General features: G+C 39.9%; 1 protein-coding gene and 1 long non-coding RNA gene across 13 annotated transcripts in view; one reads left to right on the top strand and one right to left on the bottom strand.

Annotated features, from left to right (window-relative positions):
• Nucleotides 1-17,032, top strand: part of SORBS2 (sorbin and SH3 domain containing 2) — a 370,850-nt gene that overhangs the window by 36,845 nt on the left and 316,973 nt on the right. The window lies entirely within an intron of this gene.
• LOC101928929 (uncharacterized) lies at nt 67-16,577 on the bottom strand. Of its 3 annotated transcripts, XR_939583.3 has the most exons (4): nt 16,491-16,577; nt 16,028-16,085; nt 992-1,095; nt 67-219 (listed from the first exon to the last, which is right to left on the bottom strand). It is a non-coding gene; the product is annotated as an uncharacterized LOC101928929 (long non-coding RNA). The 3 variants fall into 3 exon arrangements; XR_244774.5 differs by lacking the exons at nt 67-219; nt 992-1,095 and adding an exon at nt 4,469-4,553; XR_939584.3 differs by lacking the exons at nt 67-219; nt 992-1,095 and adding an exon at nt 15,819-15,872.

Raw genomic sequence — 17,032 nt, 5'->3', positions numbered from 1 at the left:
TAATTATTATCAAATGCTTGGGAAGAGATAATATTATTCTCATTACAGAGATCATGAAACTAAGGCTCAGAAAAGTCAAGGAGTTTATTTATAATCACAGAACTAGGAAATGGCTAAGATGGAGACTTGAATCTATGTTCATCTTGATGAGGAGCCTGGTTTCATCCCACAGCACAGTCGCCCACAACTGCAAATGTCATGTACTTTCCGCAGCGCCTCCTATGACAGCAAAAAGAGTAAGAGTTTTGGGATTTCTAGGCAGAACACTTATGTAATCAAGTATCTTAGAGATATTTTTCAATCTCCAAGCAAGCTGGGGATTGAACTATGTAAGTGGTAATGAACGAATTCTTTAGAAGATGGGTTAACTATGCTGGTTCATAAAAGAGGAAACTTGACTGCACTAAAGAAATTCATGAAAAGAGTTCTGATTCTTCCTGAGTTCCCAGTGTCCCTTGTTCTAAGAGAGCTATGCAAATACTACACTGATGCCTGGAATCATCTATAATTTAAAGAGTTACAAAGCTTTTCTTCTGCCCTATGCTTTGGTTTTGTGAAGATTTTTGTACATCAAATGCTGCATCTGTGGACTCATTCCAGTTACATGTATATATTATACAGATCATTTGTGCATCCATTGTGATGTACTGGGTGAACATACGTGGAAACTGTAAATCTTCATGAACATCTACATCATCATTAGAGAAGTTCTACTCATTAGGCTCTCAGCACAGAATAGTCCAATTCAATTAGAACACTTCTTCAGTGAGAGTTTAATAATGAGACTATTTTCGGTGCTGTGACCGTGATATAAGGCAAATGCAAGAGCTATTGTAGGGGCTCTGCTCCCACCCTAGGCTGGAAGAGGTGAGTGGAAACAGAGCTACGCAAATGTCTCTCTAATATGAGCCATGGGGGCCACCGTGAGGCCGTGGTGACCTCTTGGGGAAGGGCTGGGTGAATAAAGAACCCTACTTCAGTTTTCTCTCACCCTTCATTGGCCAACTCAACTTGAAGCCAGAGGGTAGATGCATCTGTTGACACCATCTGTAAAGATCAGTCAGTTGGGCACTGGCGGAAAAGATGGAGAGTGACCTGGAGGGACAAAGAGAAGCCATTTAGCACATCAGTATGAGAGAAATTACTCGTAAACAATTTAAACCAAAGTATTTTCTCATACATAACGTTTCTTTCTCCAGCTCTGTAACCATGAAAACGTACGAACAAAAAAAAGTTAGTTGTATTATCTGCTAACAGAATCAAATAGCATGTCAAATTTGGGAAATTACTAATTTAATTTCTGCAAACAACCTTTATAAGATTTTTTACATTCAAAGAAATGTTGGTGATTAGTGAATCTGTGAAAACATCTTAGGTATTGTCTTTTTTTCTAACAAGTATTTTGAGTTTGTTTGATGCCTAGTAAACACTGGTTGAGTAAATACCCAATGTATTGCAAATAAGCTATACTGTTAGAATGTGTCTCAGCTGCTTTCCCGGAACATCACATTTCTCCTTTATTTCCGTTATGAAACTAAGAATTTTATTTTGTCTGCCATATTCATAATACATGGAAGTCTTGACCCGTTCTATCGTTGACAGTCAGGGTTTCTCAATCTGAGTGGAAAAAACACAAACTGTTTTTCCTCTGCTCTCACACCACGACAATCAACACAGAAGACTTCAGTGACCAAATGTCAGGGAGGTTTTCCCCACTCATCAAGCAGCAGACACCAGTAGGGTGTCCCCCAGTTCAGTACCATTCTGATGCTGTCTACCTGAAAATAGTGTCAGATCCCGCAGGTTGAAGGTTCAGTCCCAAGTCTGCCTCTCCCCAATTTTTGATACCAGTCGCAAACCCCAGGTTGAATAACCTGTGCTTCTGACCGGCTGGCTATAGCTGGGGTTCCCATGTCCCCCTTCTTAGGTTTGATTAATTTACTAGAGTGGCTCACATGACTCAGGGAAACATTTGCTGTTTTATTATAAAGGATATTATGGGCCAGCAGTGGTGGCTCATGCCTATAATCCCAGCAGGTTGGGAGGCCGAGGCAGGTGGATCCCTCGAGGACAGGAGTTCAATACCAGCCTGGACAACATGGCGAAACCTTGTCTCTATAAAAAACACAAAAGATGAGCTAGGCATGGTGGCTTGCACCTATAGTCCCAGCTACTCAGGAGGCTGAGGTGAGAGGATCCCTTGAGCCCGGGAGGCGGAGGTTACAGTGAGCTGAGATCGTGCCACTGCACTCCAGCCTGGGCAACAGAGTTAGACCCTGTTTCAAAGAAATGAAAAGGATACAAAGGATACAGATGAAGAGACGCACAGGGCAGGGTATGAGGGAAGGGGTGCGGAGCTTCTGTGCCTTCCCTGCCACACCGCCCTCCAGGAAACTCCATGTATTCAGCTCTCCAGAAGCTTCCCAAACCCTGTCCTCAGGGACTTTATAGAGTATTTGTTAGATAGGCGTGATTAATTAAACCATTGGCCATTGGTGATCCACTTAACCTTCAGCCCCTCTACCCTCCCATGAGGTTGGGGTGGGGCCAAAAGTCCCAACCCTCTAATCCTGGCTTGGTCTTTCTGGTACCCAGCCCCATCCTGTAGCTACCTGGGAGCTGCCAGCCATGAGTCAGCTCATTAGCATACGAAAAGACAGCCCTTTGCAGATTCTAAGGATTTGACGAGTTGTATAGTCAACCTGTGCACTGTTACTATTTGGGGCCACATAATTCTTTGTTGGGGGAGGTGGGGGCTGCCTGTGCACTGTAGCATGTTTAATAGCATCGCTCTCCTCTACAGACCAGGTGCCAGTTCTCACCTCCCTAGTTGTGACAATCAAAAATGTCTCCAGACACAGAAAATGTCCCCTGGGAAGTAAAATTGCCACCATTGAGAAGCACTGTTGAAAATGAATGTGCTGGGAGTGTCGTATCTTGGGCGTCAAATTCTCTATTCACAAACCAGTCCTCTTTTTATACCAGGCCACTTCAAGAATCCAGCTATTGAGTCAGTTGGCTAATGTGATCGATTCTGTGATAATCATTAGTAATGAATTGGCTCACTATGCTTCACAGGCAGGTGACTGGGTGGTTTGCACTCAAAAGCAACTGTGGGCGTGACAGGCACTGAGACTGACATGTCCAGAATAACTCTGCAAGCCATGCTCCCACCTCTAACTTCTGGTTGCTGCCTGGTGGGACAGCCATATCCATACAATAGTTTTTAGATGAAAACAGACCAAAGAACATCTGAGGCCCCTGGTTTTCTTAGTTTCAATGATTTTGGATCAAAGTCCACCATCTTCTACCTGGACTCTGAAATTCCTCCTAATTCAGTCTTCTTGCATCCATTCTTGTTTCCCTCCGGTCCATGACTCATACTGCACCCTGAGTGGCCCTCTAATTTCCTCCAGTTGGAAACCCTTCAGTATCTTCCTGACCCACTTGACCCTATTGTGATCTCGCTTCTCCTTACTTATCCACCTGCCATTTCCCTCTCTGCTTTCTTCCTATACAAGTTCATACAGATCGTTGATGACCACGGGCCCTTTGCTTATGCTGCTTCTTCCTCCAGCCTCCTTATGTCTGGTTAACACCACAGTCTTCAGTTTCCAGGTCAAATATTACTTCACCTACAAACCTTCTTATTGCAAGATCCCAAATCTTCAAAATTACCAGGGTTAGGTTTTTTTGTGTTACTTAACCTTCTTAGAGAGCTACGTTCCTTTAATCCAGAGCACTTATCTTGCTTTGCAATCATACATTCAGTAGAGTGAGTATTAATATCTCTCCTTCATTAAACTTAATGCTGGGGGTGGGGGGCAGAAGGACCTGTTAATTTTCTTCTTACCAGTACAAGTGTAGCACATAGGGAATTCCCAATAAATATTTTTGGGAGAAAGGAAGAAAGGACAAAAGAGAAGGAAAGAGGGAAGGAAATGAGAGAAATGTAGAAAGGAAAAGCAGAAAAATAGATGTCAAACGTCTGCAGTGTGACTGCAGCAAAACCTGTTTGTATGTACTCTCCTGGTCCTCCCCAGGCTACCCTCGTAGTTAGCTTTTTCCTCTAGAGCACAATGCTTTTTCCATGCCATCAGAATGACCTTCAGAGCTGATTACTATTTAGGTTTCTGGCCAACAGGTAAAATGTTCCCAAGACCTTCATTTTAGGAAAATGCTTTTCAAGGCATTAGAGGAAACATGTGAGTCTATGGCAGTGCCCTTGGAGGGAGGCTTCTATGAGATAAAACTGAGGACAGTAAAAGTTGCTTCAAAAACAAATGCTCCATTCAGTTCCATTCGGGTCTCTTTATTAAAGTCATCGTCCACTTCTTACACACAAATGCTGCTGAAAGCAGTATAAAGGCCGAAAAAAGTTTTAAAATAACATGAGAAAATGAGCAGTGAGTGGTATGAGTGACCTTGGTCCACAGATCATCCTTTCAGATGAAAGCCTTTTGTTTTCCCTAAAGTCCTTCACATTAGTCTTTAGTGTCGTCATTCATTACACAGTCTATCTTCATTTACAATCCATTTGCCACACGTCACCACTGAAGGAGATGGAAAAAATCCATTAGACATAACCCAGGCTTTCTCCCACCAGCAGGGATCAAACGACCCCATAAAGTCATTTCCTATTAATTACAAATTGATTGTGTATAAACATTTCAGCACTATTTTTCAGATGATAATAAATGAGTTGTGACTGGTTACAGAGGTTAGATAAAGATGCCGAGACAGGAAGAGGGCAAGGGCCGTGCAGGGAATGAAAACAAAGCTGCCTGATGGTCAGGCCTCGTGGTATTTGTAAACGTCAATTGGTCAGGAGTGATGGATGCATTTCAGAAACCTCAAAACCCAAAAAATGCATAATGTTAACTTCATAGATTCTTTCAGGCCTGGGTTACCACAGTATTTACAATGAACGTGCGTTCACGGTAATAACATAATAGTACCTTTCAGCCCCAAATCCCAGATATTTGCACCTTTATAAACTGTTAAATTCTAAGCCAATGGTGAATAACATTCCGGTATGTACCTATAGAACTTGTTATGAAACATGATTGAGTAGCAACTCTGTAGGCTAGATTATAAAAGTATATTTTTATGAGGGTGAAATAATGAAAACAGTCTGTACATAAAAATTATACCAGAATGAGGAAATGCTACTGTAACAAATTACTTAACTGAGATTTACTGAGGCAAGAGTCAGTGCAAGTATACACGATTAGTGGGGTTTTTGTTTCAGAACTTGAAAGGAGAGAAAATATACTTATTTCTAACTTTCCTAGAGAAAAAATGAAAAATATAGTGTTGTTTTCTATTTTTCAGTTTTTGAGTTTGTTTATAGATGGTTGTGGCAACATTGGCAAAGCTAGAGCAAGCTAGTTATTGTCCACAGTGAAAATAACCCAGGTATAGAATCATGGAATTTCAGACTGAAGAGTGAGTACTTTAAAACATACTTGTTTTGGTACTCAAAATTTCTTATTTTTAAGCTTTGTGTGTCAATAACTGAACATATTTGAAGGTTTGTGCTCTGAAACCCTTCAGAAAGGTGTATGGTCTTATGAAGCACTACTGGATTAAAATTCAGAGTGATCTAGAGCTAACCATGTCCCACATGGGGATGTTATAAAGATTAAATTATGTTTTCTACATCAACATTTTAGATATTGGATCTTCAGAGCTCAAAAACAAATTTATTTTCCTGGGATTACATTCAGACTAAACCATTGCAATGAATGAGTCTTTGAAGAGTCATTCATACATCCTAAAATCCAGAATAATGAGAATCTCTTCTAGTTTTAAAATCTCAAAGAGAGACATTCCTGGTGTTACAATGTCATTTGCTCTAACTCCTGTCTTGCTAACAATAACCAACTAGTCACCATCCTCTTCAGAATCTGGTTTAATTAAATCCCCAAGAAGAAACGAAATGAGAAAATGTTTAATAGGAAGTGACTTCTTCAGTCTTACCGTTTAACACAATCATTGCGATCAGAGAAAACAGTCAGTTTGAACTGAATTCTATTTGATTGTATTGGTTTAGACTCGTCTCGAAAGAATCACTCAGCGAATCCTTTGGTAAAATCTTTTTTAAAAGTTCAGATGTTGGTCTGTCAGGTCAACCTAAATCAAGGTATGGTAACATTTTTTAAAGGTTTGGACAGAATGAGCCTCAATGGTAATATTTTATTGGATGCCATCTGGTAAAAACTGGTTTTATTTGGTTAATGTTTATTTGTTCCATAAAAAGATAGGCTAATCATGACTCTGTTTTATATAATGCTTGTTTATGTAACAGGACATAACCATGCAGTGGGTCCCAGGAACATTATTATATTTGGTTGCTTCTGTTTTCCCAAATAGATGAAAGAAGCAAAACATCCTTGTGCATTTTTAAAGTTGCTGGTAGCTTTTGAACTGCCGTTCAGATGGAATCAATTTCAGCACAGCAAGACATTTTTTAATGCAACCCTGCAGCACTTTAGCAAATGAAAACTATTTTCCATGAGTCATTCTTTGAATTACAAAATGTTCATCATCCAGGAGTGTTTATTGCACCCATAAAACTAATGCAGCACAATAATGGGTGTTAATGTCAGCAGTATCCGGCTGTTTATTATGTAACATTCGAAACGGGAAGGTGAGTGTTTAATGCTATTGTTTGTTGTCTAACAGTTCCAATTGTTCATACCATCAGGTGCTTAGACAGCAGATCAAATATTTTGCTTGATGTTCTCCAGAGCAAAAAATGTAAGTTTACTTTTCTTTATAATTAGCATGGTGAAATGGAGGGCTAACAAAGAAGCTGCCAGGATCTCAAGGTAATTATGATTTTTTGTTTAGTGACAGCTTCTTGTTTTGAATACCCTTTCCCTTTTCTCCTACTATGACAAAATAGAAACTCTTTTTTTTTTTTTTTTTTTTTTTTTTGAGATGGAGTTTCGTTCTTGTTGCCCAGGCTGCAGTGCAGTGGCATGATCTCGGCTCACTGCAACCTCCACCTCCTGGGTGCAAGCGATTCTCCTGCCTCAGCCACCTGAGTAGCTGGGATTACAGGTGCCCACCACCACAGCCAGCTAATTTTTGTATTTTTAGTAGAGACGGGGTTTCACCATGTTGGCCAGGCTGGTCTCGAACTCCTGACCTCAGATGATCCACCCGCCTCGGCCTTCCAAAGTGCTGCGATTACAGGCATGAGCCACCATGCCCGGCCTAGCATTATCTATCTTTAATAGCAAACATTTGAAAATAATGAGTGCCAAACAATAAGAGATGCTTCAAATAAATTACCTATATTTTGTCACCTGTACGAGGCTAGCTACACACCACTGAGAAAAGAAAGAAGCACTGCTAATTAAAAACTACACTTACTGAAAGAGTTTTTTAGGGTTATTTAAACATGCATTTTGTGCATACATGAAAATGAAAAATAAGTGAAATAATTGGTTAGATTATTTTCAATGTTTTTCTCCTACAAAGTCCAGCTCTTCTGAGTCACTTTTCAATTGTGAATCATCAAAGTCCATGTTTTTCCATAAGTATTTCTCTGTGCCATGGAGAGCACTAGTGATGTGGCATTTCTTATCTGTGCCCTGCAGCCATCTCTGGGATCTTCCTGCAAGTTGCTCACAAACTGTTCTGTGAATGTTGATGCTAATTGCTTCTTGATCTAATAATGTGTCAATAAGAGGTTTTCAGAACCCAGCCAGGTCTTCTATTTTTTCTGCAAGAGATCCTTGTCATCTGTGGACCTGACATAAATGAGTTACAGTTGCCCAGTTGTGCCACTGAAACTATAACCATATTAAGCCCCTGCAGGCAGTGACCAGTCTGTCACCGCTGCCACCTGGCCAACGTGACAGCAAATGTCAGTTGTCCTTGATCTTGAGATACATCCCGACTTAGATGTTAAAATGTGTATCTTAGAACCATTAAAGTGCGGTTAAGTGTATCCACCAAGAGGGAAACTTGCGCACTCAAGGAGAAAATCAGGCTGGGCGTGGTGGCTCATGCTTATAATCCCAGGACTTTGAGAGGCTGGGGTGGGAAGACTGAGCCCAGGAGTTCAAGACCAGCCTGAGCAATATAGTGAGACTCCACCTATACAAAAAATAAAAAAAATTAGCCAGGCATGGTGGTGCACACCTGTAGCTCCAGCTACTCAGGAGGCTGAGGCAAGAAGATCACTTGAACCCAGGAGGTCAAGGCTGCAGTGAGCCATGATCATGCCACTGCACTCCAGCCTGGGTGACAGAGCGAGACTCTGTCTCGAAAAGAAAAGAAAATCATCATAATTTTGAAGCCTCTTGGACAGTTTTTATCAGACATATGAGATAAGTTTATGTTATAAGACAATAAAGGAAATGTAGCTCAGTAGAAAGGGCATAAACTTGTTTGTAAACTTGGACAAGCTACTTATCTAATCTCTCTAGAGTCTTTATTTTATAAAGGGTAAAATGGAAGTTGTTAACACCTGCTTTGTGAGGTTATTCTGAATATTAAATGACTCAATGCATAATAGTTTTAGTATTTTCCAAGGGAAGTTTTTTTTTTTTAAAAAATCAAACACCGCATTGTATATAAGAAACGAGTCCTACTCTGAAACCACGCACCTGAGAAAAGTCTGGAAGGGAATTTGGATAATGTTAAATTCTGATTTACTGATGTAGAGAAATTATAAATATTTTATTTCTCATATATAATACAGTCTGTGATACCTGTTTATATCTGCATCTTTGTATACCCACAGGATTTAGGTTATAGAATAAAAGTTGCAGTCAGATGTGCTGGCTCATGCCTGCCATCTCGGCGACTCAGGAGGCTGAGGTGGGAGGCGGTTGAGCTAAGGAGGCTGAGGTGGGAGGAGGTTGAGCTAAGGAGGCTGAGCCTGCAGTGAGCCATGATTGAGCCACTGAACGCCAGCCTGGGAAAGAGAGTGAGACCCAGACTCAAAAAACAAACAAACACATAAATGAATAATAAAAGTTTCATACCAGAAGCCATGATCTTCAAGCTCTATCTGTGTTCTGAATATGAGGCAAGAGAGAAGGGAGGACAGGAGAGGAATGGGGAGAAAGTCTCCAGAGTTGGGAGTATTGATGGAAATGGAGAGGATAAAATGAAGTCAACTTCATAAAGGGGTTTTGAAGGATAGCAAGGCTTCTTTGTTACAAAATCAGCATTTCTTTTCAGTAAGAGATAGAAACACAGGAAACGCATTGAAAATGGAGTAGGGTGTGGCCAGGCCCTTCTCGTCAGTGGGAACCATAGCATTTTATAAATATATGCATAGGGCACACATTGTACTCCAGTGCTATTACTTGTAGTGTCCTTTATTCTGCAGGACACAGGGTCATTTGTGGCAAAGAGCACAGTTGCAGAGCCACCTTGGCCTGGCTGGAATTTGGGCTGAATCACATACTAGGTGTGTCTTAACATTTCCTTTCATTAGATCTTGAACAGTGTCAGACACACAGCCAGGCATGACATTGAAGGGAATATATTTCTTTTCTTTTTTTTTTTTTTTTTTTCTGAGATGGAGTCTAGCTCTGTCACCCAAGCTGGAGTGCAGTGGAGCGATCTCAGCTCACTTCAACCTCCGCCTCCCGGGTTCAAGCAATTCTCCTGCCTCATCCTCCTGAGTAGCTGGGATTACAGGCACCTGCCACCATGCCTGGCAAATTTTTTCTCTTTGAATAATATTTCTCTTTGTAGAAAAAGAAATGCAGCAGAAAAATCAACTGTGTCAAATATTGCTATGAGTGAACATTTCTTTGCATGTTTTCCTAGTTTAGAGTTCTTGACCAAAGTTTTCACAAGTTATATTGAGTGGCAGTGAAACAATGTCTTCACAGAAGCCCTCATAATTCTTCAGAATCTTTGGCTACATTTATGCGATGATAAAGCAATGCTTGAAAGATTTTTAATGCAATGACTTTATTTTTTCTTTTTTTTACCCTTTTATTTATTTATCTTAATTTATATAAATTTAAGAAGTACGAGTGTAATTTTGTCATGTGGATATATTGTGTAGCGGTGAAGTCTGGGCTTTTGGTAGATCCATCACCCAGATAATGTACATTGTCCCCATTAAGTCATCTTTCATCATCCACCCCCTCCCCACATACCCCTAGCCCTTCTGAGTCTCCAATGCTTGTCATTCTACGTCTATGCTTACACATTATTTAGCTCCCACTTACAAGTGAGAACATAAAGTATTTGACGTTTTGAGTTGTTTCACTTAAGGTAATGACCTCCAGTTCCATTCATTATGCTGCAAAAAACATAATTTCATTTTTTATGGCTGAATAGGATTCCATTGTATATATACCACATTTTCTTTATTCAGTCATCTGTTGATGGACACTTAGGTTGATTCCATATCTTTGCCATTGTGAGTACTGCTACAGTAAACACATGAGTGCAGATGTCTTTTTGATATAACGACTTCTTTTCCTATGGGTAGAAACCCAGTGGTGGGATTGTTGGATTCATACAAATATACCAAATTTATTTTTTCTTTTCCTTTGGGTAGAAACCCAGTAGTGGGATTGTTGAATTTATATAAATATACAAAATTTATTTTTATATATGTATTATATAAAAATACATGTATATAAAGTACATGTATAATGCATATATTCATATATTTTTATATGTTATGCAAGGGTTATATTTTAGAGCCTTATGGTTTCATGTTTTATGGCTCAACCTATCTGTTTTGTGTCTTGATAGAACAGAGCCTCCATCATTGTGGGTCTCCTATATCTTACTCTCCTGAGATGAACTCCTTTGCTCTAAAAGTTTTTACTAGTTTATAGAAATATTTACAAAAATTCATTTGGTTAAGGACTCATTCATTTCAGAGGTCTAGAAGATTGTCTCCTGAGGAAACACAGTACAGCTTCAGAATCATTACTCGGCGATCCCTTTGAGCGCTTCTCTGAGTTTACTCGACAGACAGATTCATTTTCCAACAAACCCTTTCTAAGCGTTTTGATTTAGCAATCAGAAGTCAGAGGGAACGTGGCACTTTTTTTTTTCATTGAGAATAGGCCTGTTTCAATTATATTTCAAATATTTAAATAGTTTTTGTGATGTCTTTGGGTGACTTTCTATACCTCGAGTGGCCATTTACTAACATATATATACATGTATATATATGTGTATATATATATATTTGTGTGTATACAAATATATATATATATATATATATATATATATATATATATATATATAGCCTTTGCATGGGTTCACTAGTAGTTCATTTCAGACCATAATTTATCTATAGATGAAATAAAAAACAGGTTTTCTTTTTATTAAGTTAGATGGGAGCCAGGTCAGGTAGGAAGTTGGTTCTTGAGAATAGAATGTGTGTGAAGCAGCTCATCAAGAAGAAGAAAGCAAAAGCAATATCCTGAGAATGCGCTTGTTTTGGGAGAATGTGCATGGTAGTGGTGAGGAGCTCAGCATGGCTCTGCCCGATGACCTCTCCAGGTCGGTTTTCCACAGTTGCCTCTCAAATGTCCTTAAATGTTTAATTACACCTTATACTAAGCTATGTTGGGAACACAATTCTGGGATTGTTTCAATTCTCTTAAAGGCAGACAATTGTGTATATGGTTATGTTTACCAAGACAAAGCATAGGTCTAATGAATCTTTAAAAACCAAAGGCACATTTGTACAAGGAGAAGATTGGAAATGACTTAAACTGAATTGTGCAATTTAAATACACGCACAGGAAGGAGAGAGGGAAGGAGGGAGAGAGAGTGCATGTGCTTAGCTAAGAGTTCCGTATCTATACCTATAATAACATCTATATCCTTGTATTTTCCACTAAAGAACTGAGGTAGCTTAACTTACCAATAAAACCTCGGAAACTAAAATCACATTATACATAAGGATAATATGTGATTTTAAAGAAAATATCCATCATCAAGAAACAAAATAAAAAGAGGCAAGAAGCAAAGCTCTCCAGAAAAACAGCTAAACATAAACATCCAGGCCACAAAATGTGTTTCTTCATGGCCAAAGTTAAAATGGAAACATGACAATTATGTTATAAAGACGGTAAATAACACCTCCTCAGGAGAACCGAGCTTTTTCTACCTCATAGCTCTAAAATAAATTTCTTATATGGAATTTTACATTAAAGTGCTCTAAACGAGTTTCTTACTATAAAAGCTAACATTATAATACCAAAAGGTAACCCAGCGAAAACATTTAAGGTGGACAGACAGACTAGCAGGGTAGCAAGGAAATTTGGCCGAACATCCTCTATTCCATGGTTCGACTTCAACCAACAAGACAAGTGAGCATATGATGGAATAGATGGACAACAAATCTTCCCAATCATTCCTCTTTTTTTTTTTTTTTTGTTATGATGGAGTTTTGCTCTGTCACCCAGGCTGGAGTGCAGTGGCACCATCTCAGCTCACTGCAACCTCTGCCTCCAAGGTTCAAGCTGGTCTCCTGCCTCAGCCTCCTGAGTAGCTGGGATTACAGGCTCGCACCACCACACCCTGCTAATTTCTTTTTTTAATTTTATTTTTAGTAGACACGGGGTTTCGCCATGTTGGCCAAGCTGGTCTTGAACTCCTGACCTCAGGTGATCCGCCTGCCTTGGCCTCCCAAAGTGCTGGGATTACAGGCGTGAGGCACTGCGCCCGGCCTCTTCCCAATAATTCCTCCCTAAATATCACTTCTCCCAAATGGGGACTTGGGGTATAATGAGCAAAAGATTCATTTATTAGAAGAAAGATCTTTGTCTTTTCGTATAGATAGAATACCATATTCACATGTATTAGAGTCATGCATATAGTCCGAGATACGTATGGAATCATATAAACAGTGGGCAGGTGTCATTCATTTATTCATTCACGGGCACTGCATTGTAGAGTGCTGCGTTAGGTATTTTCTTAAGCTATGTTTATGAATAGTAAATTTACAGATGATTTCAGTATGTGTTTATTTCATACCAAAAGTTGGTCCTGCTAAAAATGATTTTAAATGTTTTGGTTTTGACCCAAATATCTTAAGTATCTCTAATTAACTTCCTAATGTCTGTAGAGAGGGTTTATTTAAAAAACTTTGAGAAATAAATAAAATTTTCCCAGTTTTGGATAGAGTGGCATATTAAATCTGGAGATGCATAAAGCAAATCATTACTTATAAAAATAAACAGGCCAGGCGTGGTGGCTCAGGCCTATAATCCCAGCACTTTGGGAGGATGAGGCAGGCAGATCACCTGAGGTCAGGAGTTTGAGACCAGCCTGAGCAACAAGGAGAAACCCTGTCTCTACTAAAAATACGAAATTACCCAGGCATGGTGGTGCATGCCAGTAGTCCCAGCTACTCAGGAGGCTGAGGCAGGAGAATCACTTGAACCCAGGAGGCGGAGGTTGCAGTGAGCTGAGATTGTGCCACTGCACTCCAGCCTGGGCCACAGAGCGAGACTCCGTCTCAAAAAAAAAATGGGAGTGGACCACATGGTGTGACCTGCCCCAGTTGAGCACTGCCCTAAAATAGTTTGGATGGTCACTTGGTGCTCACACAGAGTATGAGAAGGAGGCAGAGGGTCCTCTCTTTGCTGGGCCCAGAGGAGATTGTGTTGATTCTCATGACAGCAGGGCACTTATTTTTGTTTGAAGGGCCCTGACTACCTTATTTGTCTTGCAGTTGTTCCCTTTGACTTGGAAATTCATATTGGGTCACTACTTAGTTCATAAACACACCTACAAAAAGACAGAAGAGGCCGGGCCTAGTAGCTCATGTGTGTAATCCCAGTGCTTTGGGAGGCTGAGGTGGGAGGATTGCTTGAGGCCAAGAGTACAAGACCAGCCTGGGCAACTTAGTAAGACCGCACCTGTAGAAAAACATATTTTAAAATGTATTAAAGAGAGAGAAGAAACAATGACAACCTAATTCAAACTCAAATGTTAACCATTTTGATAGGTGTATCATTATGCTTCAGAAATGGAATACCGTTATGACTGTTATGTTTGTTTTAGGAAGGGAATACTGTTTTGCTCTAAATTCCAGCATTTGCAAGTGAGAGTCATTTTTCAGAGCCAAAACATTTTAGTAGACCTCTGTATAAAAATAATACAGCTTTTAGTATCTCTTGAGAAGATAAAACACTACCATAAATAGTATATTTAAGTAGTTTTCCATACACCCTTAAATGATTGTTACATACACAAATCTGTACATTTACATGTATTGTATATGTTTATATTTGTATAGATATAAAAATGAGCTCACTTTAGCCATTATTTGATGAACCCTGTGTTTCCCTGGGGTTTTTTGGCCCCCAGCTTGGGGAAGCCTGCTCCACTGGAGTAAGACAGACTACTTCAGATGGTCTGGTAGGCTGGCACTGTTTCTTTCTTTCTTTCTTTCTTTTTTTTTTTTGACAGAGTTTCACTCTTGTTGCCCAGGCTGGAGTGCAGTGGTGCAATCTTGGCTCACTGCAACCTCTGCCTCCCAGGTTCAAGCGATTGTCCTGCCTCAGCTTCCCGAGTAGCTGGGACTATAGGCATGCGCCACCACGCCTGGCTAATTTTGTATTTTTAGTAGAGACAAGGTTTCTCCATGTTGGTCAGGCTGGTCTCGAACCCCCGACCTCAGGTGATCCACCTGCCTCAGCCTCCCAAAGTGCTGGGATTACAGGCATGAGCCACTGCGCCCGGCCTATTTCTTTTACCCTTGGAGGTAGTTGCACTTCTCACTTGGTTCAGTCTCGTTTGATGTCCTGAGCTTTGCCATAACTCCCTGGGAAACTGCTTATTTTTATACTTTCTCTTTTATTTTAGTCTCTTGAAATATCAAATACCACAATACCAAAATCAGATGTACGGTTGCCTCACATAACCCTTGATGTTTATAAGTTGCTTTTGTCATTGTGCGGCATGCACTGTTATTTATCTAATCAGCATTTCAGGGAAACACCAAGTCAGAGGAACTTTCTTCCTGTTCCTAACCGCCTTTGAGATATTACATACAGGCCAAGTACCACAGGCAGGGAGGCTTTTTACCGTTCTTACAGAGAGGCAGGTGTCTCTCCACAGTCCAAAGCCTGAAGAGGCCACTGCCACCCAGTAAGATGATTCTTCTGTCCAGCTTTCAAGTCCATCCACTACCCCTGGAGTAAGGTGGGACACACCTTCAATGAACTTAGATCTTCCTCCCAGCCTCTGTCCCCATTTCTAAAGTGCACAAATACATAGTCCCAATCCTGTGACGTTCCTTCCCGCACACAGACGAAGATCCTGCTGCTCTTATACTGTAAGGGTGGTAGACATTAGGCAGGTCTTTTTCTCTCAGAAACCATGTTCACAGTTAATTAATAAGATTATACATCCATAAGTTAAATTTAGAAAACTGAAGTCATGATAAGAGACCACAGTTCTCAGGTAAGTAAAATTCCTATCTCAAAGTAGTTTTAAATGAATGTACGGTGGTTTCTAGATTAAAAAATAATAATAATTATGCAATTGCCAAGAGAGTAAATTTCCAGAGGAATGGGTATTTTTGCTGTATAAGTATTCTTGGAGGGCAAATAAGACCGAATCTACAGGCCACTAGTTTTCTAAGTCAAGTATGATCTTAACAGAATGCCACAGTAATTATCCTGTAGTTCTCTGCATGCTCTGTTGATTTTAATACTTTTGATAACTTCCATTCAGTAGTTCCCTTGAACATGAATCCTTTACAACCAAAGCCAGGTTTGTAAGTTTCAAGGTTATCGTGCAATCTGAAACTCGGAAAGATCATCACAGGGTCCTTACAGCTACCCACATAGGCCATTCCATCGTTATCCTGGCTTAATGAATTATCAGTCCAAATGCAAAGACATAGCCTGAAGAGAATACATGGAACTCAATTATTTCATTATTTAACGAATGCATTCCAAAAAAACATATCTGGCGGTGGCAGGGGGGAGAGCTAGACAAGCAGGTATCAGAGGGACCCCTCTTTTTGAGGGGAAAGGAATTTTGAAGGCTCTGTACTGACCAGAAACTTGGCCTTCCCCACAATGTTGTTCCAGATAGTCATGGGTGACTTCTTCCTACTGGCCTCATGTATCCACATGTCAAGCCAAAGTGGAGAGAAAAGAAATGTATGAATCATGATGATATTGGTAATAATAGAACCTCCTACAACTTACTGAGTATCTGTCAGGCACTATGTCACATGCTTTACATTTATTATCTCTAAACCTCACACTAATCTTAAAGAGCCCAAGATTTTTCTCAATTAGCCATGAAACATTTTGACTTTAAAATCTACAGATATCAAATCATTTCCTATGGCATGCCCCCCCAAAATCACTATAAAATATAAAGCTGTGTTTTAGGTCTTTTAGTTGTGTTTCTTTCAGTGCTTTAGTAGAAATAATGATGGCTGATATTTGTTACATGCATATTTTGCTCCGGGAAGGCACCCCCTGAGAACCTTCCATGGACTTAATACTCACAGCACCCCATGGAATCAGTGCTTTTAGTTTTCTCAGTTCACAGATGAGGAACCTAGACTTAGTTAAGTGACTTCTGTGAAGGCATGCCTGTGGCAAAGCCAGGTTCCAACTCAGCGATTATGACGTCAGAACAGAGCTTTTATTTACTTTGCCATAGAATTAACATCACGGTTGGGAATATTGGATGAATCCCAGTGCAGCTAAACCAACTGCTGTCAGCAGAGGTGAACTGAGGTAATATACAAAATCGATAACACAGGAAATGTTCTAGCAGCTTTAGCAAGATCCAGAAAGCAATCAGGACTGAACATGCATGTTGCTCCTTTCTTTTTCTTTTTTTTTTTTTTTTAAGTAAAAACACCATTTTTATCTCTAACCTCTTCCTCACACAGAGGCTATAGAATTCCCCATGTAAGTTTTTGCCCCATCCTCTCTCCAGACCAATTATTGAAGTTAGTCTTCCCAAGATGACAACTGATCAAAAGATTCATGTAATAAAACTCTAATTTCATAATAAGGATTTTTCACAATTTGAAAATGCC

Source organism: Homo sapiens, chromosome 4 (genome assembly GCF_000001405.40).
Source record: "Homo sapiens chromosome 4, GRCh38.p14 Primary Assembly".
In the NCBI taxonomy this organism is placed as follows: Eukaryota; Metazoa; Chordata; class Mammalia; order Primates; family Hominidae; genus Homo; species Homo sapiens.
This window is presented reverse-complemented; position numbering and strand designations above follow the sequence as displayed.